The 27,834-nt window shown below is 35.2% G+C and overlaps 1 protein-coding gene across 13 annotated transcripts in view; it reads right to left on the reverse strand.

Moving 5' to 3' along the window:
• SCN3A (sodium voltage-gated channel alpha subunit 3) overlaps positions 1–27,834 on the reverse strand; it is a 116,525-nt gene that overhangs the window by 46,459 nt on the left and 42,232 nt on the right. For 4 of the 13 annotated variants that reach the window (NM_001081676.2, NM_001081677.2, XM_047445395.1 and 1 more), the window contains exons 10-15: positions 21,778–21,919; positions 20,468–20,674; positions 12,755–13,045; positions 6,814–7,014; positions 5,492–5,624; positions 3,895–4,133 (exon numbers count right to left, since the gene is read on the reverse strand). In NM_001081676.2, coding sequence (NP_001075145.1) covers positions 3,895–4,133; positions 5,492–5,624; positions 6,814–7,014; positions 12,755–13,045; positions 20,468–20,674; positions 21,778–21,919 — 1,213 coding nt within the window. Of the gene's footprint in view, positions 1–3,894; positions 4,134–5,491; positions 5,625–6,666; positions 7,015–12,754; positions 13,046–20,467; positions 20,675–21,777; positions 21,920–27,834 lie in introns of those variants that run through there. The other 9 variants (NM_006922.4, XM_017004660.3, XM_011511610.4 and 6 more) reach the window with 4 other exon arrangements.

Consider the following 27,834-nt stretch of genomic DNA (forward strand, 5'->3'; position numbering starts at 1 on the left):
ACATTCCTGAAACAAAAGTAAGTTTGCCACAAATTGTTTATTATAATGATCTCTGGATGTATGCCTCAGAATTAAGGTTAATGGATTAATAGAGCAAGAAGCTGCAGATTTAATTGAAACCAGCAGGAGAAAATACTCAGTATGCATATACATGTAATTGAGATTAATAAGTCACTTGAGTGGCTAGATAAATGTGTATTTGACAATAGAAAGAAAAACAATGAAACAAACACAACATTTATTTTTTAACTCAAAACGATAGGCTGAGAGATACAGGACATGAAGAATTATGAAATTACTCTTGCAGAAAATCTTTTAAAGCAATTCTCTTAATTTGCTATAGTTACAAGTTGCAGTTTATGACTGTAAAGTCAAGTTTAGCATTTACGAAGATAAATCAGCCTTTATCTTGAAGGAATTCTGTCAAAATAACAGTATAACAATTATTTGGTTCCACTTAAAAGAAATCTTGATCCACCCTTACGAATATATAAATGCAGCTAACACTTCATTTTTTCCAATCACAGATGGGAAATACCCATCACAGAAAAAAACAGCCTAATGGTAGTCATCCATTCACTCAAATAGAAATAAAATGTATTTTAAGCAAGCCTAGTACATGAAAATCCAAGTATATGGTGAAATGCCCATTGAAAAATATATTTTTCATTTTATAGAATAACACATCAAAGATTTTTTTTTCAAATAGTGAGTTTGCCTGGTAAATGTAAAATAAGTTGTAACTATACAAATTTTATTTCATGTATAAAACTTTTAGAAGCAGCTATTATTTGAAATAGGCACTCTGATGATAGAAATATATTATTTAAGGTGAGCTAGAACCATCCAGGTAAATAATCTACAAATATCTCTTTCTATAGAAAATCATAAGGTGATCTTTTCAGCTCTTCTAAAATGACTAGATCTCATACCTTTAAAAACATATACCCTAAATTTACGCTTATCTAAAAATGTAATCCCGCCATAAAACTTTTCATTAAAAATAATATTTTTATTACAACTAGCAATCCAAAATGACAGCTATATCTCTGTAACTGTTTTCAGTTAAGGCCCTAAAAATCAATGGGATTGTTTTTGGTACATTTTAATCTAGTTTCAGCATTGTCAGGTAAGTTGGAAATGTTTGTTATGATGTTGTCTAACCTACTATGATTGATAGGCTATTTTTTGCTGATTGAATCCCTATGATGGGAGCAAGCATTTTATAATGATTAAAAAACAAAACAAAACAAAATACTCCACAAAAATACGGAGCACCTTAGCAAAACTTAATTGAGATTCAAGGTCTCTTGATACTCAAATTTGATTAATCTCATCAACAAGGAAGTGATGTAATTTTTATGTACTGCAGAAACAGAATGCAAAATGGGGCATATTGATCTAAGTTAAGATGGAAAATTCCACAATTCAGTGTCCTCATGTAGAACATAAAGCAGTATGCAATAATTTGAGCAGTAATAAACTAGTCTGTAGATATTCTAAATTTATTTTAATGAGCAAATTATAAGCTCTCCACAAAACATTCTGTGTAATCATCTATGATCTATAATATAGTCCTAAGTCAGCTTAGCACCAATGATAGAAATTCTTTCTTTCTCTCTCACATGCTCTTTCTCTGCATATATATTAAACATATGTATTACTTTCATATGGATATTTATGATAAAGGTTGTTATGGGTAGGAAATTCTATGGGTAGATATTCTATGAACAAATGCTTTGTAAATTATGCAATGCATTATTGATATGTTAATCATTATAGTAAGGAGGTATCAACCAATAGAGACAGTCAGTTTACATATTCTCCTATTTTTATGGATAGAAATAAATAACTCAAGTCTGTTCCCTATAATTTATGCTCTCTATCTTGGCAAGTTTTGTTTCCCCAACACTAACCTGAACTTATAGATGGTTCTATCACAAACAATCTACCAGGCATCAGTCTCCCATTCCACTTTCCCACCTCATTATTTCAGTTACTACCCATAAAGTCATAGAATTGTAGAACTGGGACATACATAAAAAGTCATTTAGTCCAACACACTCATTGTTTATATGTGTGTTGAGAAAATAGACTCAAGGATCTAAGTGACTTTTCAAAACCACACAGATATTTACCATGAACACTTTGACTAGGACCTAGATTTGATGCTTTTGTCTAGTGCTTTTTCATTCAATCATCTTATAATCCAGCCTCTCTTATCCTGTGTTTCCATACTCAACTGCTTCAGCATTGGAATTCTATATTTCCTGCTTCACTCTGGCAAATTTCCTTCACCTGTTCAACTTCCCTAACTGTCCAATATCCTGGGAAAAATACAAGAACTACACCAGAAATATTTTCCATCATTATTTCAAAGAAAGGTCTAAAAGGTTAATAGCATATATATGAGGAAGGAAACTGTTTATTGAGCACATGCTAGATGCCAGGCACAGTCTAGGTGCTTTCACATTACCTCATGTGACCTTCACAACAACTCTGCACGAAGGGTATTATTACACTCATTTCAATAATAGAAAACAAAGATTCAGATTGTTTATCAGAATTGTCCAGAGGCCATATCACTAGTAAGCACTAGGCAACTAAGGTCAAACTCAATTCCACTCCACTGCAAAGTCTGTGCTCTTTTGCAAAATCATGCTACTTGAAGCAGCCTTTTTGGGTAGTTATCAACCAGTGGGTTATTTATTGAGTGACTAGCATGTAAACACTGAGAGAGGCAACAGAAAAATGGGACACGGCCTTTGCCAAAGATGAAGAAAATCTCAAGAATATGGTGGGTGTTCTACTGAGTCAAATAATGCAGATAATTTGAGGTCACTTATTAGGGCACACAATTATCCAATTGTCCACCAGCATTTCCTTTCCCCCTTCTGTTGGCAATTGCTCCTTCACGCATGATTCCTCAGGACTGCCATGTTTTCAACATGATCCCACCCTCTGCCAAGGCTGATTAAATCAGAGGTGAGCATGTGACCTAAATTATGCCTAAGTTCTACCAGGAGAGTCTTTGGAATGAGACTCAAAAGGAGATTCATGCTTTTCAGTGTAGAGGTTGTAGGATGGAAAATCAGTGAGCTCTTGCTGAACATTTGCTGACCTAAAGACAAATGATGCAGTGAACTTGTGGGCCATATCTAAGCCCTTGATGAAAACTGTTCCTAAAGTCAGACTGCAATACTGCCCTTTACTTAGTTTGTTAGTCTACCTTTTCCCTCCATTCCAGTTTCCCCACTACCCCTTGCCCCAAGTTTGTTTTAGTACAGAGAAAGCTCTTGATTAATAATATATGTAAACCCTTTTCTTACTTGTTCACCCATTTTGATTAGCACACATAGACACAGATGAATGCTCAGTAATTTGAACCAGAGGTATGGCTAAATCACAAATGCAAATTTAGCAACTATTTTTTTTCTTGTATGATTATCACTGAAGCTTTTTATTAGGTAGTTAACTTGAAACAATGATGTTCTTTTTTTCATATACATCAATCTTTGGGTCATCCCTTCAATGGACATGATTGTTTTAGAGGCTGTGTGGGTTAAAACCACATGATTGTGGAGCCAGTATTAGATCTCCTGGTTTATCTGGACCCACATTTCCAGCAAGAACAACTGTAAAGATTTTGAGACGTTTACAACTGGTAAGACACCATGATCAATCAGCACAGACATTGGCCTAAACAATCAGCATTCATACCAGTTGAGTTTTAGGCTGTATCTCTGAGATTCCCTGTAATATTCCTTAGATATTTCTTTCTATGAGGAAAGAGGATATAATTTTTGGGTTCAACACAGCACAAATACATCTTTCCCTTTGGTCTATCTCTCCCACATCTACCAAAGTAAATAAGTAAACTTCAAATGTACTTACCAGGTTTCCTACAGTCAACACACTACTGAATTGCTCAGTCATGGGGTAGTGCTCCATGGCCATAAAGAGGGTATTTAAGACAATGCAAATAGTGATGGCAAGATCAACAAATGGATCCATAACAATTAAATTCACAAGATGTTTTACTTTTAACCATGCATCACAGCAGTCCCAGATCAAGAACACATTGGCAAATCTATACCAGCATGGCGGACATTTCTGTCTAGATTCTTCAAGTTCTGGAGGGACAATAACAAGGAAGAGTAGTAAATAACAACAAAAATGAGTTATTATTGCTAGTAGATTTTACATTATTTAACAAAATTGATGCTTATATTTGAAAATAGAAGTTCATATTACTTAAGAAACTTGAGAAGACAATCCCATTAAATATTTTCAGAAAATGTTAATTAAAATGTCATATAGATCGACTTTTTTCTCTTTTGAATACAGAAAATAAGCACTTTGAATTTAATATTTTGCTTTTAAAATGACTAGGTTATGATTGATTAAAGTGCTGTATTCTCTTTGTCAAAACAGAATTTTAAATAAACATTACACAACTATTAAAATTTTAAATAATTATTGTTTCTTCTGAAAGTACCTTTTTAAAAACATTGTCTAAAGTTGTGATCCCTTATGTGTGTGATAACATTTATGAACTATTCTCTCCTCTCATAGTTTCCATATCAACATTAATCTTGCACACAGTGAGAACGTAGTATGCCTTTCTTTTTAGTATAAATTCAGACTCAAATCTACTTTTGTGGTTTGTACATATCTTTTAGAATTTTAGCATCATGTATTTAAAATATTGCTTGAAATTTTAATGGATGAGGCCTGTTACAAAATAATTATTATGTGACTGTATATCTAATACACCAAGAAGACATGATATAAAATGTAATTGATGTTTTCTAAAGAACATATGTTAGAATTGACATATAATTGATCTAAAAAGGGCAGTACTAATATATTCTCTCTCCAGACTTCAAGGAGTGAGGGCTGTGTGATGTATGAACAAGTTTAGTGTATAAATAGTTGCTGCCTATTCCTCTGTGTCAAAATCAACAAACATTTCTTTCCGTGGTCCTTTGGAGGAATGTAATGGTTGCTGTGTATGTAGAAGATGGAAGAGAGACCCTTTTGTAGGATCTCTCTTGCAGTGGAGGACAGGTTTTGATTTGCCCAACTCATTTAAGTGCTCCCGCAACCCCATCAACACTTCCATGCCTGAAGAACAGACTAAAGCCTGAAAGAAATGTTTCCTTATGCTTCTATATACCAAGACTTAGAAAAGGGGAAGAGTTTACTCTATTTGCATATGAGTAACATAACATAAGAATAAATCCTCATTGATATAATATCAAGTGTTGAAATATCACTCTGCAAGTAAGGTAAGGACCCAAGTCAAAAAGAAATAAGGCCAATATTAGTTTTTGTAATCAATGTGATAATGTACTCCATATATCACATTCTTAGGTCTAATATATAGTTTCGATCTGGGTAACAGACTTCAGTAATTCTATGAAAAGAAGGAATAGTTCACAAAGCACATAATCACAGAAAGTTGGCTGTTCCATGACCTGCTTCTTACCTTCCATTGTGTTGGTCAGAATGCTGGCTATGCTCACGGCTCTTTGCCTTCCAGAGGAATCCTCCAGCATCTCCATTGAAATCTGGTAAGAGCTTAACCTTCTCTTTCTGACTTCCGTTTCTGTGGTGGTGCCCTGCAAACCAAATACTGATGGCTCAAACCACTCTTCCCAATAAGTAATACAACACCACATAGCATTTCTTTGGCAAATCATGCTACATGCAATTTTTCCAGGTAAGAATTTTCAAGGAATAAAATATTGAATTATTGCTAAGTTATAAACAGTTTTTTTTTTAAAAAAAAGTTATCACAGGTAGTACTCTTTAAGAGGAATTCACCAGTGGGATGCAGTTTTATAACACAATTATATTACAGAACTATTTTAATTAACCTGTCACAATTTTCAAGGAAATTTGTTGTAAACATGCTAAAGTCATTTATTATTTTATTTCATTCAGGTGAAAATTATTTTTATCTTCTATCAATGATTAATAATCAGATCAATCTCCCCCCAATAAATATTATGATTATATAGTCTCAAGGCTGAATTATTTTCTTTGAGGCTATATTGACAATATTGACATATGTGGGCCAATTTTTTCCATGCACAAACACAGATGTACGATGAAATGTGTGTGCTTTCCTGAAATTTCTTTAATTATTTCTATATCTTATCCTATTAAAAAACAACACATTTTAGAGTCATTTTAAAATAGCACTGTAAATATTGACAGTTGTATGAAATTGCCCATTATCAACAAATTGGTTATAATATTTAATTTTAAGAATATGAATTTTCCAGAATATGAATAGATAATTATACAATTCTTGGTGAATATACATCTTATAGATTTGATGGTGAAAATGTCCATTATTTGTCTCGGTAGGTCTACCAAATTTGCAGATATGTATTTCATAGCAGACTCTAAAAACGGGGCCCTTTTAACCTAAAGCCATGGTCCCTTACAAGTAATTCCCATACAACAAAAGCTAATGGTCCCATACAATTCAATTGATTCTCAATATTCTATTGTTTTCCCTTTGATTAATCATGTATTATTTTTACCAACTTTCATTTTGAGGAAGCAGGACGGTATGACAGCCTAAACTGTCCAGGCTTTGATTATTTCAAATTGGTGAATAATGTCAGTAGCAGCTAGGTCATCTATTATCACCTCTGGGGGAAGTTGTCCAGTAGGTGACGTTAGAGCTGAAGGTCCACCCACCAAGGAAACCACACCATTGCAATCCACAGTGCTGTGCATCTTCCCATTTGCTGGAAGCCCTGGCACCATCCTGGATGACATACTGGCCTGACTAACGTTACTGTTGCGTCGCTCTCCATGTCTGTGCGGCACAAACAGTGAGTCTCTCCTGCTTTCGCTGTCTTCAAATGTGCTGTGTTCATCATCAGCAAAGTCATTTTCAGATCCAACATCCTTTGCCCGACCTCTGAAACTGAAAATGCTTGTTTTGCTATTGCGTCTTGGGGAAAACAGGGAGCCACGGATACTCAAGAGAGACTGCAGAGAAAGCAAAAAGGAAAGGAATGGGATGGGGGTAGGGGAAGAACGCAATTATTTAATAAATATTAATATTAAAGGATCTGTTTTCTTTGGAGTTAGTATACTCTTGCTCTTAAACATGGATAATCAAATTTATAGAGGACACATATATTTTGATATTTTTATTAAAGCAAATTTAAGTACAAAGAGTGTTTTTCTGACTAACAATACTGATTTGCAATTTACTAAGTATACAACCACTTCATTTAGTCTTCACTTTAGGTGGATTGGGTTATCATAATGCTATAGGTTAGGGACCAGATGCTGAAAAGGATAAATGATTTCTTTTGATGGGAATGGTGGTTAAACAAATAGTAAGTAGCTTCTACTTCTTAATGCTATAATCTGAAGGGAATGTAGCCTGGAGAATAAGTTTTGGCTCAAGTGAGAATGTTAGCTCAAATTTAAAATATTTGTTTCAAATGTTGCATTGTAGCCAATATTTCACTTCAGGATAATTACTTTTTTAAAAAACTACTATTTTTCCATTCTCTTCTTTTGAATTCTGAAAGAAAAGTAGTTTACTCTTTCTCTGAAACTGTTTGTCTCTACCCACATGGGAACAGAAGTCACAAAACTTACCTACGATGTTGTCTTCCAAATTTGCTAACAGTTTCCCAAATGGCAACCAATGATTCACCTTATTTGAGAGACTATATGTCATAGCAAACACAACACAGAGGATTCCTAAACTGCTACACAAATTACTCTTCTTGTGTAAAATATAACACTGGCTTGTAAAAGCAAGACATATAACATGACTTCACCAGCAGGTGGTGTGAAAAACAACATATACTTCTGTTTTATTTTAATTATATTAAAAAGAAAGAGACAATTCAAAACCTTTTTCATTACAGCTATTCCCAGATAAATTAAGCAAACTATTTCCTAGTACCAGAAAATGAGGATTTAGCTTGAAGTTCCTTCTTTCACATTTTGAAAGGATTTTAAACTAGCAACCCCAAATAATTCTGTGTGTATTCTTGTCTTGCAGATAGTTTTCAAAAACATCTCTATTCAGTCTGCAGAATATTTGTTTTCTCCCCTCATCATGAACAATGGCATTCCTCCTTGCTCTCTCATTCCCTTTCCTACTTCTCTTCACACCCAGGGTAATATACATACATACATATACATATACATATGTCAGCAGCAAACATTCCTGGATCTTCTCTTTCTTCTAAGCTTTAGTGTAAAACCAAATAAAATGATTTTAGTGGAAAAAACAGAAAAGGCAGACTCTGTCAAATGTATTCTTGGTTCCTCTGCCTAATTAGGTCATGCTGATTTTCTTAGGCCCCAATTTTTAGCTTTATTTTCATGGCTTTTCCCAGACTGCAAAGCACCAGAATAATCTTTGTTGTCCTCTGTCTCAGTGATATTCTGGAAGGATATTATTCACTAAGAAGTGCTCTGTTCCTTTGGATTTGGTTAGATTCTCCACAGGAACTATTGGCTGTCCAGCTTGTCCATCGGAGGCTGTGTCTATGTGACACTCAATTCCTGTAGCAGGTTTGTCTACCGAAGGGCAGACAATAGAGTGATTTTACAGCAAAGTGATCAAGAGATTAGATCATGTGAAGACATCAATTCATCCCCCCATTAATAAAGAATGCTAATGTTTTTCATTTCCTCAGACTCCATTTAAATGATCAATATAATAACAGTTATATCCAGAACTCGTGTTGTTGTTGTTGTTGTTGTTGTTGTTGTTGTTGTTGTTGTTTTGAGGCAGAGTTTCGCTCTGTCGCCCAGGCTGGAGTGCAGTGGTACAATCTCGGCTCACTGCAATCTCCACCTCCCAAGTTCAAGCTATTCTCCTGCCTTACCCTCCTGAGTTGGCTGGGACTAGAGGTGCCCGCCACCACACCTGGCTAAGTTTTGCATTTTTAATAGAGACAGGGTTTCACCATGATGGTCAAGCTGGCCTCGAACTCCCAACCTCAGGTGATCTGCCCGCCCTGGCCTCCCAAAGCCCTGAGATTACAGGCATGAGCCACCATGCCCAGCCCAGAACTAGTGTTTTGAAACATTTGAGTGTATGTGAATCACTCTGAGAGTTAAAAATATATATTTTTAGGTCCCAGATTTTGGAATATGGATTCAGGAAGTAGCAGATAGGACTCTGGAATCTGAATTTTCCTGACACATTCCAGGTGACCCTAACACAGGGTGGACCTCATCCTACACTCAGAGAAATACTAACTTGGTCTTACATTAATCCCTAGGATGGCTGAGTATAATCACCTCAATACACCTATGTTCTGAAACTGTCTCTGGAAACTGAAAATCGGTCTACACAGTATTGGTTGGGAGTATGTGGTACGTGTGTACATCCACTATGTATCTGGGACATGCCTTTAATTTGGATATTTTTATGTCAGGTATTTTCAAAGGCGTTCCAGATCTCTGAGTTTATTTGAAATTTCTATTCACTCTTTGGAATGTATAATAATGGGTGTGAGCGCAGCTTTCAAGGCAACAGAGACGGAAAAAGAAGATAACAGAAATAGCATTCAGAGAAAATAAACCAAAAATAACACACTAGAAGATGCAGCAGAGTGGAGGGAATACCCACAGCTGTGGCAACACTTTCTCTAGGGAAAACCAGCTTTAATGTTTTAAGGAGTGAAAGGCCATCTTTCTTTACCTCAGGCATGTCAAAACATATTTCCCAGGTATCTTTTTCATCTTGTTCCCAGAAGATAAATGTAGACTGTTTCTTAATTTTCAGTAACAAAAGGGAAAATAGAAGAAATTAGGTCTATAAGACACAGTCATGCATGTAGGGTTTGGATTCAAAGTGGGTTGGGAAAAGTCAAGATGGAAAAAGATGCTGGGAATTTTAAGATGTTCTAGTGGGAACAAGGAAAGTGAATATTTGTCAGAAGTACTTAGCATTTTGAGGTTTCATTTTATACTTTTAAGTATTTCTTTATTTTGTACAACTAACATTATCTGTTTAAAAATAAAATAATGTAATAAACATAAAATAACATTTGTAATTTATGTGAATAGAAGGCAGGGCACCCACAATTTATGCCCTCTCTGCTTTGACATTTTCAGAAGATACATTTGATTTGAGCAGTATTTACTGTCTATCTTACGCTTCCTGTCCCCACCACCTTCACTGATTCTCTTTCTACCAGATTCCTTTTTTGTTTACAGAAGCAGAAATTGTAAACCGTTTATGGTACATTTCTGCTTGTTAGTTTTGTTAATGCTCTTAGTCTGTCTTTACTGGGATATGCAAATTTAAAACTAATAGATTATTTCCTTCACTTTTGAAATTATCCATCTATCTTCTGTCTATTTACAAATATAAAATGAGCGACATCTACCACATGTATGTACTGATTCTGCTTTTAGTATTAAAACACTGGCCATCAGCTAAGCTCTCTGCTCTTGCCTGTCTGTGGTTCACTCAGCTCCAGCAAACCAAGTCTACCAGTTGCTTCTTAAGCACTCCAGGCATGCTACCATGTCAGGGTTTTGCACTTCCTCTTTCATCAGTTTAGAATGCTGTTCCTTAAGAGAGCCTCTTTCTTTGCCTCCTCCAAATCTTTCCCAAAATGTCTTAATAGTGAGGTCATTGTAAACCACCCTATTTAAAATTTTACCTCCAATTATGGCTCCTGTTCCTCTTTTCCTGCTTACTTTTTTTTCCCTTAACATTTGTTACCTTCTAACACAGTCTATAACTTATTTATTTTATTCATTGTCCGTCTCCTTTGGAAAAAATTTCCATGAGGTCAGTGGATTGAGTCTCTTTTATTCTTTGAGGTATTTTCAGCATCTTGAACTATGCTTGCTACATAGTTGGCGATCAATAAATATTTGTTGATTGGACTGAATGAACTGATCTACAAAATTTATTTGAGCAAAATGATGAAACAATAAAGGAACTAATACTGCTATCAAATTATGTATATACATTTGTTAGTAATTGAAACTACTCAGAAGTTTGCTTTCCCTCACTTGAAATTCATTCACCGATTTTAACTTAATAAGAGACTTACTCTTTGTCACACAGATTTTCTATATATTGCTTAGTCCCCTAAATCTCTTTAATGTAGGTATTCTTACTTTATTTTACAGAAATTTTACAAAGTACAAGTGACTTGACCAACGTCACAGAACTAGTTTGGAGTTGAGATATGAACACAAAAGTTTGTGTTCACTGTAGCATCATTATGCTATAGTTTCATATACTCTTAATTCTAATAACTCCTAATAGTTTTAAGAATTCCAAAATATCAAAGGTGACTGTTTAAGAAAAAAAAATCTGATCTGAGGAACCAAGTTGCCCTTCAGAGCTTCAAGTTAATTCCAAATATGTTATACTGATTTGATAATATATTTTATATTTGTATTACACAAGATAGTAATAGTTGAATTTCTTGATATTGATGTTATCTGCAGAAAAATGGCTTTATCTTAAAACTCTTTGTGTATTCATGTCCATTTTGTTCTAATATGAGAATACAAGTTTTAAGTTATTAATATAGTCTACTTTTTTCTTTAAAAATATTTGTTTACATATTAAAGATAGATTATAAAACATTCACTGAGAACTTGCATATTACCTTTTCTCCCAACCAAAAGTAAATACTATGTTGAATTTTGTGTTTATTACTTCTGGTTTTTTTTAGAAGTTTCTTTCTTTATGAAAAATATATCATACCCCTTGGTTGATTTGCAGTTTTTGATTAAATTAATCTTATATATTATCTCTCAAAGCATTATTTTTAGGGTATAATTCTGACTCAAGATTGTTATGATTAGAAGCATTTGCAATTCATAGCACATGAAATTCTAATGGTGCCAAATAGTGTTCAAAGCCAAAATTGTACTTATCACAGATTTTGTAACTAATTATTCTTTACATCAGACATATGTAAACAATACATTAACTTACTAATCCATAAAACTTACTAAACATCAAATAATTGAAACTAGTTTTTACTCTTTTACTTAAAACTATGCTGAAGAACCAGGTAGTTGGCATTAAATCAGAGCAAAAATAGACTACCTTTGATGCTGTTCTCTTCAAGAACATTTAGGTCATAATTTCATTCTAATGTATCACGGCATGACCCTATGCAAGCAAAATGGAGACTCACCATAGTCCAGTTCTCTTAATCAAAGGATAAAGACAAAACCCAAAGAACACTTCTTTTCAAAATTTATATGTATGTTACGATCACAACTTTGGATAACAAAGGCAGAAACCCATTCTCAAAGAAAATAAGTTTATCTGGGGTCTCAAAATGGAAAATGTAAACAAGAGATTCCAAAACTCTCATTGAAAAGTCTGCTAGTGTAGGTTATATATATATATATGTGTGTGTGTGTGTGTGTGTGTGTGTGTGTGTGTGTATAGACACATATATACACACATATATATATACAGGTTGATATATAGGTTATATCAATATATATTATATATATCTATATATTATATCAATATATCTATCTGTATATATAATCAGTCTCAAAATGGTGAACATTTTATTAATGGTTTAATAAAAATCCCTTTGAAGACAATCTATTATAAGAATTTAAACAACTATATTAAATGTTAGTTCCCTGTCCCTCACTGAAGTCAGATAGTACAAAAGTGTACCAAAACAAAATACAAAAACTAAAAAGCAATAGCAATGACAAAGAAACCAGAGCACTTAGTAGAAAATCATACCTGATGAGGGGAGCAGAATTTTTTGTCACTGGTCAGTCTGTTTCCATCCATGGAGAAAAGGAAGCTGCTTCTTTTGACGCTGTCTTCAGATTCGGATTTGGGAAAGCTGTCTCTCTCTCCTTTGTTGTTTCCTTCAAGGTGCTCTCTCTGTCTTCTTTTCTTCCTTCGGTTCCTCCATTCTTTAGCACTTTTGGAACTCAACTTTGATGCTTCTGAAGAACTTTCCAACAGCTCTCCTAACCCACCTATTCCACTGAAATCTCTTGAAGCAGCTGATGCTGCCGCAACTGCCTGTCATAAAACAAAGCCAGGCACTATTTAGAACACAGAGCTTTGAAAACAGTTGAGTATGGTTAAAATATTGCCATTTAAGACTCATTAACTACAAGTGAAAAGTCTATCCTCTAGTCCTTTTATTTTGTCTCACCACAAGAGTTTACTTAACAATGACCCTTATGTTTTAAATCATATAAAGCAATATGCTAGTGTATGCATTAAAGCAAGAAAAATCTGGTTTTGCCTATCTTCTGGATTGTCTTTTTTTTGGGGGGGGGGGGTTGGTGACAACTGTTCTCTTCAAAGTGTCTTCTATACTTTAAAAAGCAAATGTTTTCTTCGTGGTGGTTGCTTATCTAACTACCATTCTGATTCCATCTGTAAAACGTTTCCTCCTGTGTGCACTTCTGAGCAGCTGAGTCGTATTTTTTCCCCTCTAAATCCAGTACAAAAGACTGTTTCTTTTATTTTTTGTGAACATAAAACATTTCAAGTGTCTACTATTTTACCTCCAGATGGAAGTAGGGAAATGTATTAGATAGCTTATCCTCTTCCTTCCTTTGAATTACATTTAGGACTGTAGTTCACATCTCTGTGATCATGTTACTCCCAGAGAATTTATTACATATCACTTAAAAAATGTTAAACGTTCATAGATTATTTAATATTATAAATAACAAATGATTAACATAGCATTACATAAATTCATTCAAAGGATTATGAGAACTGCTTCAAATATTTTCTTTCTATATTGCAGCACTAAGTATTCTTAAGCACTTTGAATTTCTGTACCTACAAATGAAACACAGTCAGCTCTGAGGTGAAACATGGCAAATAGTATTTTTAGACTGGAAATGATCTAACAATGACATACAGAGGATATGAAACAATATGGTGTGCATCAAAGCTGAGTTCTCATTAAGTATATTACTATTTGTAAATGTAACCACAGAAGTGAAAATAATTAAATTATGACAATATCAGTTAAACTTTTTACATATGTCATCACTAAATACAAACAAATCTAACTTATCTAATATATTATCTTTCCCATTAACTGTAAGCTAGATAGAAATTGTATCATTGTATGCTCAGTGACTAGTATGTCACCTGACATAAATAAGGCTCAGTAAATAATTGGTGAATAAAGATTTAAAAATGTACTTTGCTATCAATTGTCTCAGACACTGGGGTGGGGGTGGGGGAAGAACAAGACATACTTAACCTTGACTTTGATGCTTCTGAAGAACTTTATAGAACTTATATTTAACTTGCTACAGATAGCAAGTTGACTTTTCAAGACATCATAAAAGACTTGACTTTTCAAGACATCATAAAAGACTGTCATAACAGTCTATATAACAACATATTTTAGGAAGAAATGGAGATAAAACCTATTTATAATGCTTTGACAACACTTTGTGCTTTATGTTTCATCTTTCTTGAGAAGAAGCAAACTCTCCTAAGTAGTTTTCATTTTTAAACTTCATGTTTAAAAATTTAAAAAAGATTTTAAATCTAAAATTACTATGCTGCAAATTCTCTAGGATTACAATGATCTCAGGGAGGGAAACTTAGTACTAAATATGATTTTAAATTTATGTGTTTGACCAAGCAACACATAAAATGTAACATATTTATTTATATTAAGCACTATATTCATAATGGAAGCTCAAATCTAAGACTTGATATAAGACAATACCCAGCATTTAAATAAAACAGTAATTCAGAATTTAGATATTTATAAAATTTTATAGAGTCATATAGCCAGGTTTTTAATGGAATTATTGATCATCAGTATCACTTTTAATATAATTCATGATGTAAAATGAGAAATATTAAGTACATTTTATAACTCTGACTATATATGCAAAATAAAGTGAATAAATGAATCACTTATCTATAGCAAGTTAAATATAGTTACAGAGTTCTGGATACATATGAGGTACATAATATACACCATTTGTTGAAACAGTGAATATATATATACCCTTTCTTATCCAAATAAAGTCCTTAATTCTCTTTTCTATTTTATATAGACACAAACACACAACACACAGTGTTAATCATTTATTGACTTGTTTGTCCCTGCAAACAAAGGAAGTGGTGGTAATAGTCCCTTACCATAATCCTACAACTTATGTCCATTTAAATCACTTCCAAACTTTTTTTTTTTTTTTAGATGGGGTCTCACTCTGTCGCCCAGGCTGGAGTGCAATGGCATGATCTCGGCTCACTGCAACCTCCACCCCCGGGTTCAAGTGATTCTCCTGCCTCAGCCCCCTGAGTAGCTAGGATTACAGGCGTGAGCCACCACACCTGGCTAATTTTTGTATTTTTAGTAGAGACAGGGTTTCACTATGTTGGCCAGGCTGATCTCAAACTCCTGGCCTCAAGTGACCCACCCACCTCAGCCTCCCAAAGTGCTGGGATTACAGGCGCGAGCCACCGCACCCGGCCACAAACTTTGTTTTGCATAAGACATTATTTCCAAACCTATTCTGGGTAACAGTTCAAATAACTCAAAACCAAAACAGATTTCTAAGGCAACAAAGGTAACCTCAGACACATTTTCTGTGTCACTCATCAACTCAAATCTGTCATTTGTTCCACTTCCAGTGATTTGCCAGTTCCCTCAAAGGCAGATGTTTCCTGTCATCTCTCATGTCTGTGTACCTGTTTATACCCAACTCTGTGACACTACCAATGTCCTGCGTATGAGAATAACTGTGTTACTTTCACAGCCAACTTGCTGAATTCCTCTTTTAACAAATAAGAAATTTCACTTAATATTTACTCAGGAAATTACATTTTCTTATAACATTTTTGTGTGATTCAAAGTAGGCTCTGTAACTCACTGTATCTGTGTGTCCGTAAAAATATAACCACATAACTAATACTTTGTTCATTTTATGTATATAATCCAGTTAAAATCCCATTCAAAGCTACAAGACATTATACCTATTTCTGTTCTACCCCAATTATATTAGATTTCTTAAGAGCTACTATTTCGAATTTTGTTCTAGAGCTTACTCCCAAATTTTTTCCTATCAGAGCAATATAGACTGCTATGGGATATACTAAGCTGGGCAACATTAGGCACTTAAATATCACAATTTAAATGTCAAACACAATTAGAATGATCTAGGACAAAACATTGATTTCTTTGCAGGGTTTGTGTTTCTCCACATTATTTTCTCATGCCTACACCGTGACTAGCCCTAGGTGGCCCCTCAACCAATAATAAACAAAGATGGAAGTGATGCTAGCCTTCATGAAGTCATTGGCTAGATAGTAACTTTTGAAGAGTCGTAGGTGGTTAGGGAGACTTAAGCTACACTGCAGCATAAATGATCTTATAGGTGCACTAATTCTGTCTTTGCCTCCACTTCCTCCTGGCTTCAACATTGATAATTTACTAGTCATCATTACTTGTGTTGTCAATAAGGAACTAAAATGGATTTGGCACTGTGCTACTCCAATCAGTATTATACTTTACCTTGGATAAATTTAAATTTTATATGTATGAAGCTAAAGCTGAATCAAATTGTGATGATTTGGTCACTAAGATTCAGTAACTGACTACTAAGGTAATAGAACTGATGTTTTTTAGCCGAACTCATCATAATCATAGGTTCTTTAAACTTCTACTAGAAATAGTGCATGTTTATTTCTAAGTTCAAAAAGACTATACTCTTTTTAATTGATGTCATATTTTACCCTAAAATGGCTGCATTTTAGAATAAACTCATTATCTGTGTAGGATTTTCAAGCACATTAATTTGTCTTCTTTTATTAATGATAATAGAAAAACCCAGTGCTTTAAAATACAATCATATGCAATTTATGAACATTATTTCCTATAACACTTATTTAAAACCTTGAAATAAAGTATTTGCCCTGTAAATAGCTATTTTTATTTTATTATATTATAAATGTGTTTTATTTATGGTGACATAGAATAAAACTCTTAAATAATTCAAATGTAGAACTTTCTGGCAAGCATGAGGTATATTTTAAAATATTTTCAAGTTTCACCAAATTTGTTTATAGTTTTCTGTATAAAATCAATAAGGTATATCCACATTACTACTCTGTATCCAATGGTAAGATGAAAGTGGTCAAGCTAGCATGTTCAGCAAAAGCTATGCCTAGAGTTGAGCTCAATAATTCACTAAACAACTCATTGCTGTATCTCCATTACCCCAAAAAATGCCTTGAGAAAGGACCTAATGCTATTTGTTGTGCATCTTCAAAGTAACTCAGAATTGTTAAAAACTTAAATTTTGAATATACCAATTTCTGTTATATACTGTCATCCAAAGAATACTTCAAATATGTGGAGCCATTCATCTGAAAAAAATCCTCAAAAAAGTCAGTGCATAAAAATATTATTTGGATTTCTGCTTCTGGCCAAAATTGAGTAACAGAGACCAGATTTGCTCTCTCCTGAAGCAACCAATAAAACAGACAAAATACATGTTACAGTAGTTTTGAAGGCACTGGACATCAGATCAGGATGTTTTAAGATATTGGAAAATGGAAAAGCAAGCAAGTCAGTTCTATGCTTTTGTTAGCTTATGGCCTGGAACTTCCAGACTATGATGTAGAGAGGAAGTATCTCTGCAGACTCCATGAATGGATGAGATGAAGCTGAGTTTAGGAAAATCAGGGTGGTTGTATAGTTCACAAAACAGGGTACCACAGAGGAGAGAGTTGAGCAGAGAGAGAACTCTAGGGATCTTCTCAGGTTCCCCTTGAGTACTGAGAAGATTATTCACCAAGCATGTGTCTTAGAAAACTACCTGAGGCTGAGGATAAGAGAGAACACCACCTGGCAATCACACTGTGCCAGAACAGTGTCTGTTCCTACACTGGCAAACACTTCGTTTTAAATGCGCATTGGGTAGAGTATTAGGAAGGGTCTTGATTCACTAGTGAGGAATAATTAGTCTTAGAATAAATGGTATGCTGGTCCTGCCTAACAAATTTTCAAATGTTTAAAGATACAAAAGGATCAAACTGTGTAAACAACATAACTATGTCCCGAAACAAAGATCAATAATTTTTATGGGAATACAAAAATATCCAGCACTTAAAAAAAGTAAAATTGACAGTGTCTGGAATTCAATTGAAGATTGTCAGGAACATAAAACTGCAGGAATATGTGACCCATAATAAAGAGAAAAATTAATCAAAACTGACCAAGAAGTGACACAGATGTTCAAATTAGCAGACAGGGAACTTAAACAGTTGTTATAACTGTATTGTGTATGTTCACAATGTTAATTAGAGATATATGAAATATAAAAAAGACACAGATCAAGCTTGCAGAGGTGAAAACTACAATGTTTCAGATGACAAATACACTGGATGAAATTAGCGGCAGATTAAATGTTCAAAAGAAAAGATAATTGACTTGAAGACAGCAATAGAAATCATTCAAATTGCAATTGACAAATGGAGTTTAAAACTCATATAGAGTCTTTGCTATTGTGAATAGTGCCGCAATAAACATACGTGTGCATGTGTCTTTATAGCAGCATGATTTATATTCCTTTGAGTATATATCCAGTAATGGGATGGCTGGGTTAAATGGTATTTCTAGTTCTAGATACCTGAGGAATCGCCACACTGTCTTCCACAATGGTTGAACTAGTTTACAGTCCCACCAACAGTGTAAAAGTGTTCTTATTTCTCCACATCCTCTCCAGCACCTGTTGTTTCCTGACTTTTTAATGATCGCCATTCTAACTGGTGGGTGGGGGAGGTGGGAAGGATAGCATTAGGAGGTATACCTAATGTAAATGACGAGTTAATGGGTGCAGCACACCAACATGGCACATGTATGCATATGTAACAAACCTGCATGTTGTGCACATGTACCCTAGAACTTAAAGTATAATAAAAAATATATATATATGAAACTTAGAAAAAAAACTCATACAGAACTACAAGGGACATAAAACAGCCAAAACAGCTTTGAAAAAAAAAAAAAAGAACAAAAAGTTGGGGACCTGCACTATGTTATTTCAAGACTCGTCATAAAAGGTACAGGAATTAAGAGAGTGTGGTACTGGTATAAAAATGACAAATAAACTAAACAGAATAGAGTTCAGAAATAGACAAACTCACCTATGGACAACTAATAATTGACAAAAGTTCAAAGGCAATGCAGTGGAGAATGAATATTTTGTTTTTATGCAGTTGGAATAATTAGATACTCATTTTAAAAAAGTGAATCTCAACATATCACTCATATGTTATACAAAAATTAACTAAAATGGGTTATTTACCTAAATATAAAGCATAAAACTAACTTAAGAAGAAAATTTAGAAGAAAATACTCATGGTGTTGACTTGGCAAAAATTTCTTAGATCCAAAAGAATGATTTAAACAAAAAAGCTAAGAAATAATACTCTGGATAAACTGCACTTTAAATATTTGAGAAGCATATATGTGATATAGGACTTACATCCCAAAGAGTCAAAGAATGCTCAAAACTCAATAATATGAAATCAAACAACCTAACTAAAAAAAAAGGAGGGGATTAAAGATTTGAACAACCACTTCATAAAAGAAGCTATACAGATGGAAAATAAGAACAGAAAAAGGTGCTCAACATTAGTAATTAGGAAAATGAAAATCAAAACAGAAATGAGATACTTATTAGAATGGCTAAAATTAAAAAGACTGGCCATACCAAATGTTGGCAAAAATATTGAGAAATTATAATTCTAACTGGCATGAATCAGATTTTTACTATATATTCGTGAGTCTTCACCTTTCAGTATATGGATTTTTTTTTCTGTCTTTTAATACAGTACTGTGTTTCCGTCTCTTCTCCTCAACACATTAATGTCCCATTCACTATACCCCTAGCTCACACAGCCTTTAATATTAATAAAAATCTCAAGTTGGCATCTAACTTTAGATACCTTCCTGATATCCTGATGTGGGCTATAGCAAACATTTTTTTTTTTTTTTTTTTTTGCTACAGAAATCCCAAAGAATTGTTAAGCATAGGTATATATAAAGTCTCTTGTCAACCTTTAAAATCAATTAACTTCAGAACAAAATCTCAAATGTCATAATTAGGGGTGAATCACTAATAATTGGAAATATCAGTTTTATTTCTTTTCTAAATTAAATAAAAAATTAAATTCCTCTCTTAGGTTCTATGAGACAATTCCATAGTAAACCTTATCTCTAATGTATTTTCTATCCGCTAGCTGATTTCTTTATATACAGTGGCTAAAAAGTTTGTTAGACTCTAACTTCAGAAACAAGTTCATATTTGAATACTTTTTTTTCTAATGACAATGCCTATATATAAAATGAAAAAGCAGTTCCAATCTACCCTCTATAGTATAACACTATTTCTACTTAGAAACTAATAATAATAATGATAAATCTTTGCTTTTATCACTCAGTACCTGAGCTTCTTCCTGTTGCTTTTTAAGCTGTTCGAGCATCTGCTGAAATTCGGCCTCTTTTTGTTCTGCTTCTTCCAAGGTGGCCTGATTCTGCTCCTCATAGGCCATGGCCACCACAGCCAGGATCAAATTCACCAAATAAAATGAGCCCAAGAAAATGACCAGGACAAAAAATATCATGTATGTTTTCCCAGCAGCACGTAATGTCTAGGGGAAATGGGGGATAATTCCATCAGTATTTTAGTATAATGTCCCCAAATAAATATCTGATTACCACAGTTAGATAGTCAGTAGACTAATTAGCTTTTTAGTATCCAGTTTATTTTCACCAAGAATTTTTTGGTATTGATATGCTCAACACACAAAATTAAGAATCAGATTATTTGAGGCTTGACTGCAGTCTTGTTGGATATAAATACATTTTAAACTCATATATAGTGGATATATATGTGAGCCCCACTATAATGCTTTTATTAGAGTTCATATGCAGAGCAATAATATGACAAGTAAGAGCACTGAACCTTTAAATCCTTTCAGTGGGATTCCATTTGCACTGCAGCTATTCTCCATACCATCTATAGATGACTTTTGCTCCCCTCCCCTTCTAGTCTCAGTTAATAGCTAGAGCTTTAATTTGAAATTTTCACATCAACATCACTGATTTTTAAAATCTTTTAACGTGCTGTTTATATACCAACAACTGGATTATCAACTTCTAAGAGTCATGAGCATCTCCAAGTTCCTAGCAGAATGCCTTTCACATAAAAAAGTCCTCAGTGTACATATATAGGTACTGACTCAGTGAGCAATTAGGATTCCTGGCACACTTGCTTTATGTTGGACCTTCCTCTGTGTTCCAGAGTGTTATAAGCAGGTCCTTTCCCTTCCCTTCCCTTCCATTCCCTTCTCTCCCTTTCCCTTTCCCTTTCCTTTTCCCATTCCCTTTCCCTTTCCCTTTCTTTTTTTGAGATGGGGTCTTACTCTGTCATCTAGGCTGGAGTGCAATGATATGATCTCGACTCACTGCAACCTCCACCTCCTGGGCTTGGGTGATCCTCCCACCTCAGACTCCCTTGTAGCTAGGGCTACAGATGGGCGCCACCATGCTGGGCTAATTTTTGTATTTTGGTAGAGATGGGGTTTTGCCATGTTGTTCAGGCTGGTCTCGAATTCCTGGACTCAAGTGATCCATCCGCCTCTGCCTCCCAAAGTGCTAGGGTTACAGGCATGAGCCACCACACCCAGCCTATGCTTTTCATTTCATACATGTCTATAAAAATAAATGTTATGCATGCTCATTTGGACCTTACCAACTGGTAAAGATTTTCCCAGTAGTCTTGAGTCATGAGTCGAAATAGAGACAGGAAAGCCCAGCTAAAGGTGTCAAAGCTTGTGTAGCCATAGTTGGGGTTTCGACCAGCCTTCACACAGATGTATCCTTCTGGACACTGGCTATAAGAGAGAGAAATGGAGGTAGGGTCAGTTTAGAAATTACAGCAATTTCAATTTATTTGACTTATAGGAATTTTCAAAACCCAAAGCTGCTATCTGTGACGAATTATCTTGCTTTAATTTCCAGAACACTTTAGGTGATTGCCCACCGTGAAACTTATCAGATGAAATTCACTAGGAAGACCGATAGAAAATTTAGATGCAAATAAATATTTACGGACATTTAGAATGGCAGAAAGCTAGCAACCACACACTTTTGGCTCTGACATTACCATATTTCTACTCTTTACAAAGTGGCAAGAATCAATAGTTAAAAATTAAGGCCGGGTGCAGTGGCTCACGCCTGTAATCCCAGCACTTTGGGAGGCCAAGGCGGGCGGATCATAAGGTCAGGAGATCGAGACTATCCTGGCTAACACAGTGAAACTCCATCTCTACTAAAAATACAAAAAAAAAACAATTAGCTGGGCGTTGTGGTGGGTGCCTGTAGTCCCAGCTACTCGGGAGGCTGAGGCAGGAGAATGGCGTGAACCCGGGAGGTGGAGCTTGCAGTGAGCCGATATTGTGCCATTGCACTCCAGCCTGGGTGACAGAGCGAGACTCTGACTCAAAAAAAAAAAAAAAAAAAAAAAAAAAAAAAAAAAAAAAAATTAAAAGCCAGAAAACAGACAAAGAGTGGGGAATCAACCATTTCATTAGCTGGTTTTGTAGAATTTTCTAAAATAAAGTTAATATTTATAACAATTTTTTATTTACAGAAAAAGTATGAGGATAGTACAGGCTTCATACATTCCATGCCATTTTCAATATTGATATATTGTTATTATTTAATTGAGATGGGATCTTGCTACGCTGCCCAGGCTGGTCTGAAACTTCTGGGCTCAAGCAATCTCCTGCCTTGGCCTCCTGAAGTACTGGGATTACAGGTGCGAGCCACCGCACCCAGCCTTAATACATTATTATTACCTAAAGTTACTATTTTATTCAGATTTCATCAGTTTTTTTCTTTTTTTTTGTTTTGTTTTGAGATGTAGTCTCGTTCTGTCGCCCAAGCTGGAGTGCAGTGGTGCAATCTCGGCTCAATGCAAGCTCCGCCTCCCAGGTTCACACCATTCTCCTGCCTCAGCCTCCCAAATAGCTGGGACTACAGGTGCCTGCCATCACGCCCAGCTAATTTTTTGTATTTTTAGTGGAGACAGGGTTTCACAGTGTTAGCCAGGATGGTCTCCATCTCCTGACCTCGTGATCCGCCTGCCTCGGCCTCCCAAAGTGCTGGGATTACAGGCGAGAGCCACCGTGCCCAGCCCTCAGTTTTTTTCTTAATGTCCTTTTTTTGTTCCAGGATCCCATTCAGGATACACATCGCATTTAGTAGTTATGTCTTTTTAGGCTCCTCTTGGCTGTGACAATCTCTCAGACTTCCCTTGTTTTTGATGACCACAACAGTTTTGAGGATTACTGGTCAGATATTTTATAGAATACCCTTCAATTGGGATTTGTCTAATGTTTGTCTCATGATTATATTTAGGTTATGGATTTTTGGGTGGAAGACTACAGAGGTAAAATGTCACTGTCATCACATCACATCATGCCAAGGGTACATACTTATCACTCACTATGACTTATCACTCTTGATGTTAACTTTCACCACCTGTCTTGAGGTAGTGTTAGGTTTCTCTACTGTAAATTTACTCCCTTTTCTTCCTTTTCCATATGTGCTCTTTGAAATAAAGTCACTGTGTACAGACCACATTTAAGGAACCCGCAGTTATGATCTTAAGTATATACCAAAATTATTTGAAATTATTCTGCATAGGATATTTGTCCATTCATATTTTATTTAATTATTCAATCATTTCAATTAACATGTAGTCATGGATAGTCATTTTATATTTTGGATTACAATTCAATGATATTTCATTTATTTGTTCAAATGGCTTCATCTTTGGCCACTGGAAGCTCTTTCAGTTGACACCTGTAACAGTTTGACATACACCATGGTTGTGGGTTGCATTTTTTTTTGTTTTTTAACACTTTCTTAGTTTTAGGTACTATCAGATGCTCCAGGCTCATCTTTTATAATTTCTGCCGCAGTCCTAGAATCAACCATTTCTCCAAGGAGCCCTAGTTCTTTTTATTGGAAAATGGTATTAGAAACCAAGATCTGAGTGCTAGCTGTGTTTGTTGCTACTGGGGTGTCATTGCTTCTAGGCCCTCTCAGCTGACAGAACAAGGAGATACACATGTTTGTAATTGCTCAGTACTGGTACACATGCACAGTGGTTTCAGGATTGTTAATCTATACTACCATTGGAAACAACTTTATCAACTAGGGTATTGTTCCTTTTACCTTTAGTCTTACAGACTCCACTCATTTCCAAAGTTACTTAGGTTAGCATGTTATTACCCCACCACCTACAGTGAGGTCATTTCATATTTTGCAATACATGTATATATTTTTGTCACATATTCCATTTCTTCCTGGGATCCCCAAACCTCACAAAAGATTTTTTTTTTAATTTGTATATATTAAGATTCACTCTTTGTGTTATAAAGGTCTATGAGTTTTAACAAATGCATTAAGTTTCATATTCACCATTATAGAATCTTAGAGAACAGGTTCTCACCCTAAAAAAAAATCCCCTTTGCTTTACCTAGATAATCCCTCACCATGAACCCCTGGAAAACACTATTTTCTTATCATCTCTGTTGCTTTGTGTTTTCTAGAATGTCAGGTAATTGAAATCATACAGTATGTAGCTTTTTGAGGTTGGCTTTTTCTCACTTAGAAATGTGCATTTAATATTCATTAATATTTGTTTGTATCTTGATAGCTCATTTCTTTTTAATCACTCAGTAATATTTTATTGTATGGGCATAACAATTTATTTATCTATACAACTATTGAAGGACATCTTGGTTGCTTCCAGTTTGGGGTCATTGAAGGGCATCTTGGTTACTTCCAGTTTGGGGTCATTATGAATACAGCTGCTATAAATATTCACATGCAGGTTTTTTGTGAAGACATAAGTTTTCAAATTGATCAGCTAAATACCTAGAAGTGCAGTTGTTGGATCATATGGTAAGACTATGTTTATTTTGTAAGAAACCGCCAAACTGTCTTCCAAGGCGGTTGTCTAGTTTTGCATTCCCACCAGCAATAAGCAAGAGTTCCTGTTATTCTGCATCCTCATCAGAAGTTGGTATTGCCAGATACATTTTTCAGTCATTCTAACAGATGTGCAGTGGTAACTCCTTGTTGTTTTAGTTTGCAATTCCCTAATGACAAATGATGTCGAGTGCCTTTTTACCTCCTTAATAACCACCTGTACTATATACTCGTGTGGGGTATCTGTTCAGATCTTTTGCCAGTTTTAAATTGGGTCATTTGTTTTCTTATTGTTGAGTTTTAAGAGTTCTTTAGATATTCTGGACACTGGTTTGTTGTTTTGTTTTGTTTTGTTTTCTTTTGAGACAGGGTATAATTCTGTTGCCCAGGCTATAGTGCAGTGGTCTGATCATGGCTCACTGCAGCCTCGACCTCCCAGGCTCAAGTAATCCTTCTGCCTCAGCCTCCTGAGTAGCTGGTACCACAGATACACTACACCATGCCTGGCTAATTTTTTTATTTTTATTTTTTGGAGAAACAGTGTCTCCCTATGCTGCCCAGGCCAGTCTCAAACTCTTGGGCTCAAATGATCTTCCCCTCTCAGCTTCCCAAAGTGCTGGATTACAGGAATGAGCTACTTCACCTAGCCCCAGTCTTTTTTTTTTTTTTTTTAAATCAGATATGTGCTTTGCAAATATTGTCTTCCAGTTGCTGGTTTGTCTTTTCATTCTCTTAAGAATATCTTTGTAAAACAGCAGCTTTTAATTTTAATAAAATACAAATCATTTATTTCTTTAATGGAATGTGCCGCTTAAATACAAAATGGTTTTGTATTTAAAACTCATCACCTGGCTCACTCCTGTAATCCCAGCACTTTGGGAGGCCGAGGCGGGCGGATCACGAGGTCAGGAGATTGAGACCATCCTGGCTAACATGGTGAAACCTGGTATCTATTAAGAATACAAAATTAGCCGGGCGTGGTGGCGGGCGCCTGTGGTCCCAGCTACTCGGGAGGCTGAGGCAGGAGAATAGCTTGAACCCGGGAGGCGGAACTTGCAGTGAGCCGAGATCGCGCCACTGCACTCCAGCCTGGGCGACAGAGCTAAACTCCGTCTCAAAAAAAAACAAAAACAAAAACAAAAATCTCATCACCAATGGCCAGGCGCAGTGGCTCATGCCTGTAATCCCCAGCACTTTGGGAGGCCGAGGCAGGTGAATCATTTGAGATCAGGCTCCCACTGATTCTACATTATGGTGACTTGTACAATTATTTCATTATATATTACAGTATGCTAATAATATAAATAATGTACACAATAAATGTAACGTGCTTGAATCATCCTGAAATCATTTCCCACCACCACCCTTGGTCGGTGGAAAAATTGTCTTCCACAAAACAGTCCCTGGTGCCAAAAAGGCTGGGGACTGTTGATGTAAATTACTTAAGCCATAATAGGAATTCATTAAGGGGAATAGATTATTATGGTTTAATAGGAATAAAGTATGTATTAACCAAATTTATCCAAAATTTTATCTGGGCTTTTATGTTAATCATCATCATAATAAATAATAGTTAATAGGCAATAAATTCTTTTCTTTTTTTAGAGTGTGCTTTTTTTTTAAATTTATTAAAAAAATTTTTTGGGGGGACAGGGTCTCGCTTTGTCATCCAGGCTGGAGTGTAGTGGTGCCATCTCAGCTCACTGCTACCTCCATCTTTCACGTTTAAGAGATTATTGTGCCTCAGCCTCCAGAGTAGCTGAGATACAGGTGTGCCCCACCACACCCAGCTAATTTTTGCATTTTGTAGTAGAGACAAGGTTTCGCCATGTTGGCCAGGCTGGTCTAGATCTCCTGGCCTCAAGTAATCCCCCTGCCTCTGCTTCCCAAAGTGCTGGGATTACAGGTGTGAGCCACCGCTCCCAGCCATTTTTCAGAGACAGCCTATCACCTAGGCTGGAGTGCAGTGGCATGATCATAGCTCACTGTGGCTTGGAATTCCTAGGCTCAAGCAATCCTTCTACTTTAGCCCCCTGAGAAGTTAGGACTACACGTGTGCATCACAATGCCTGGCTAAGTTTTTCTTTTTTTCTTCTTCTTTTCTTTTCTTTTTTTTCTTTCTTTCTTTTTTTTTTTTTTTTTTTTTTTTTGTTTTGTAGAGGTAGGGTCTTGCTTTGTTGCTTAGGCTGGTACATACAATAAATTCTTACAATTGTCCATGTGATAGTTCAAATACTTTATGTGTATTAAATCATTAATCATCACAACTATTAAAGGGACAGAATATTACTCTCTCCATTTTAACGATGAGTAAACTAAGGTACAGAGAGCTTAGGACACTTTTCCAAGGTCAAAGAGCTTACAAGTGGTGAAGTTAGGATTTGAACCCTGGTATACATGAACTCTACAACCTATGCTCTTACCCCCTACATTCATAATAAGGCTAGGAAAACTGTCAGGAAAAAAAATTCCCCAAAGCTCTATTTATATGACTAGTATACATTTTCATTAACTCTCTTAGATTTTTATGGCTACACCAGTTTCCCTTTTTAAAGGATGACTCAAAATATATTTAAGTTCCGTGTCCTAAGAGTCACTTACTATTGCTATCTCTCAGCTCTTAAAAAATTCCCTATTTTGATTTAAAATTAACTTACAATACTCTTAGGAAAATATTTAAGGGTTAGAGAATAACAGCATGACTAAGATATTATGGCATCTTTTGTTGTAACGTGTGGCCTAAAAGAACTATTCATTATGTCAACTGATACTTGGACATGCCTTTGGCACACATGCACCCTTGGCT

The sequence above is a fragment of the Homo sapiens genome, chromosome 2 (genome assembly GCF_000001405.40).
Source record: "Homo sapiens chromosome 2, GRCh38.p14 Primary Assembly".
Taxonomy (NCBI): domain Eukaryota; kingdom Metazoa; phylum Chordata; class Mammalia; order Primates; family Hominidae; genus Homo; species Homo sapiens.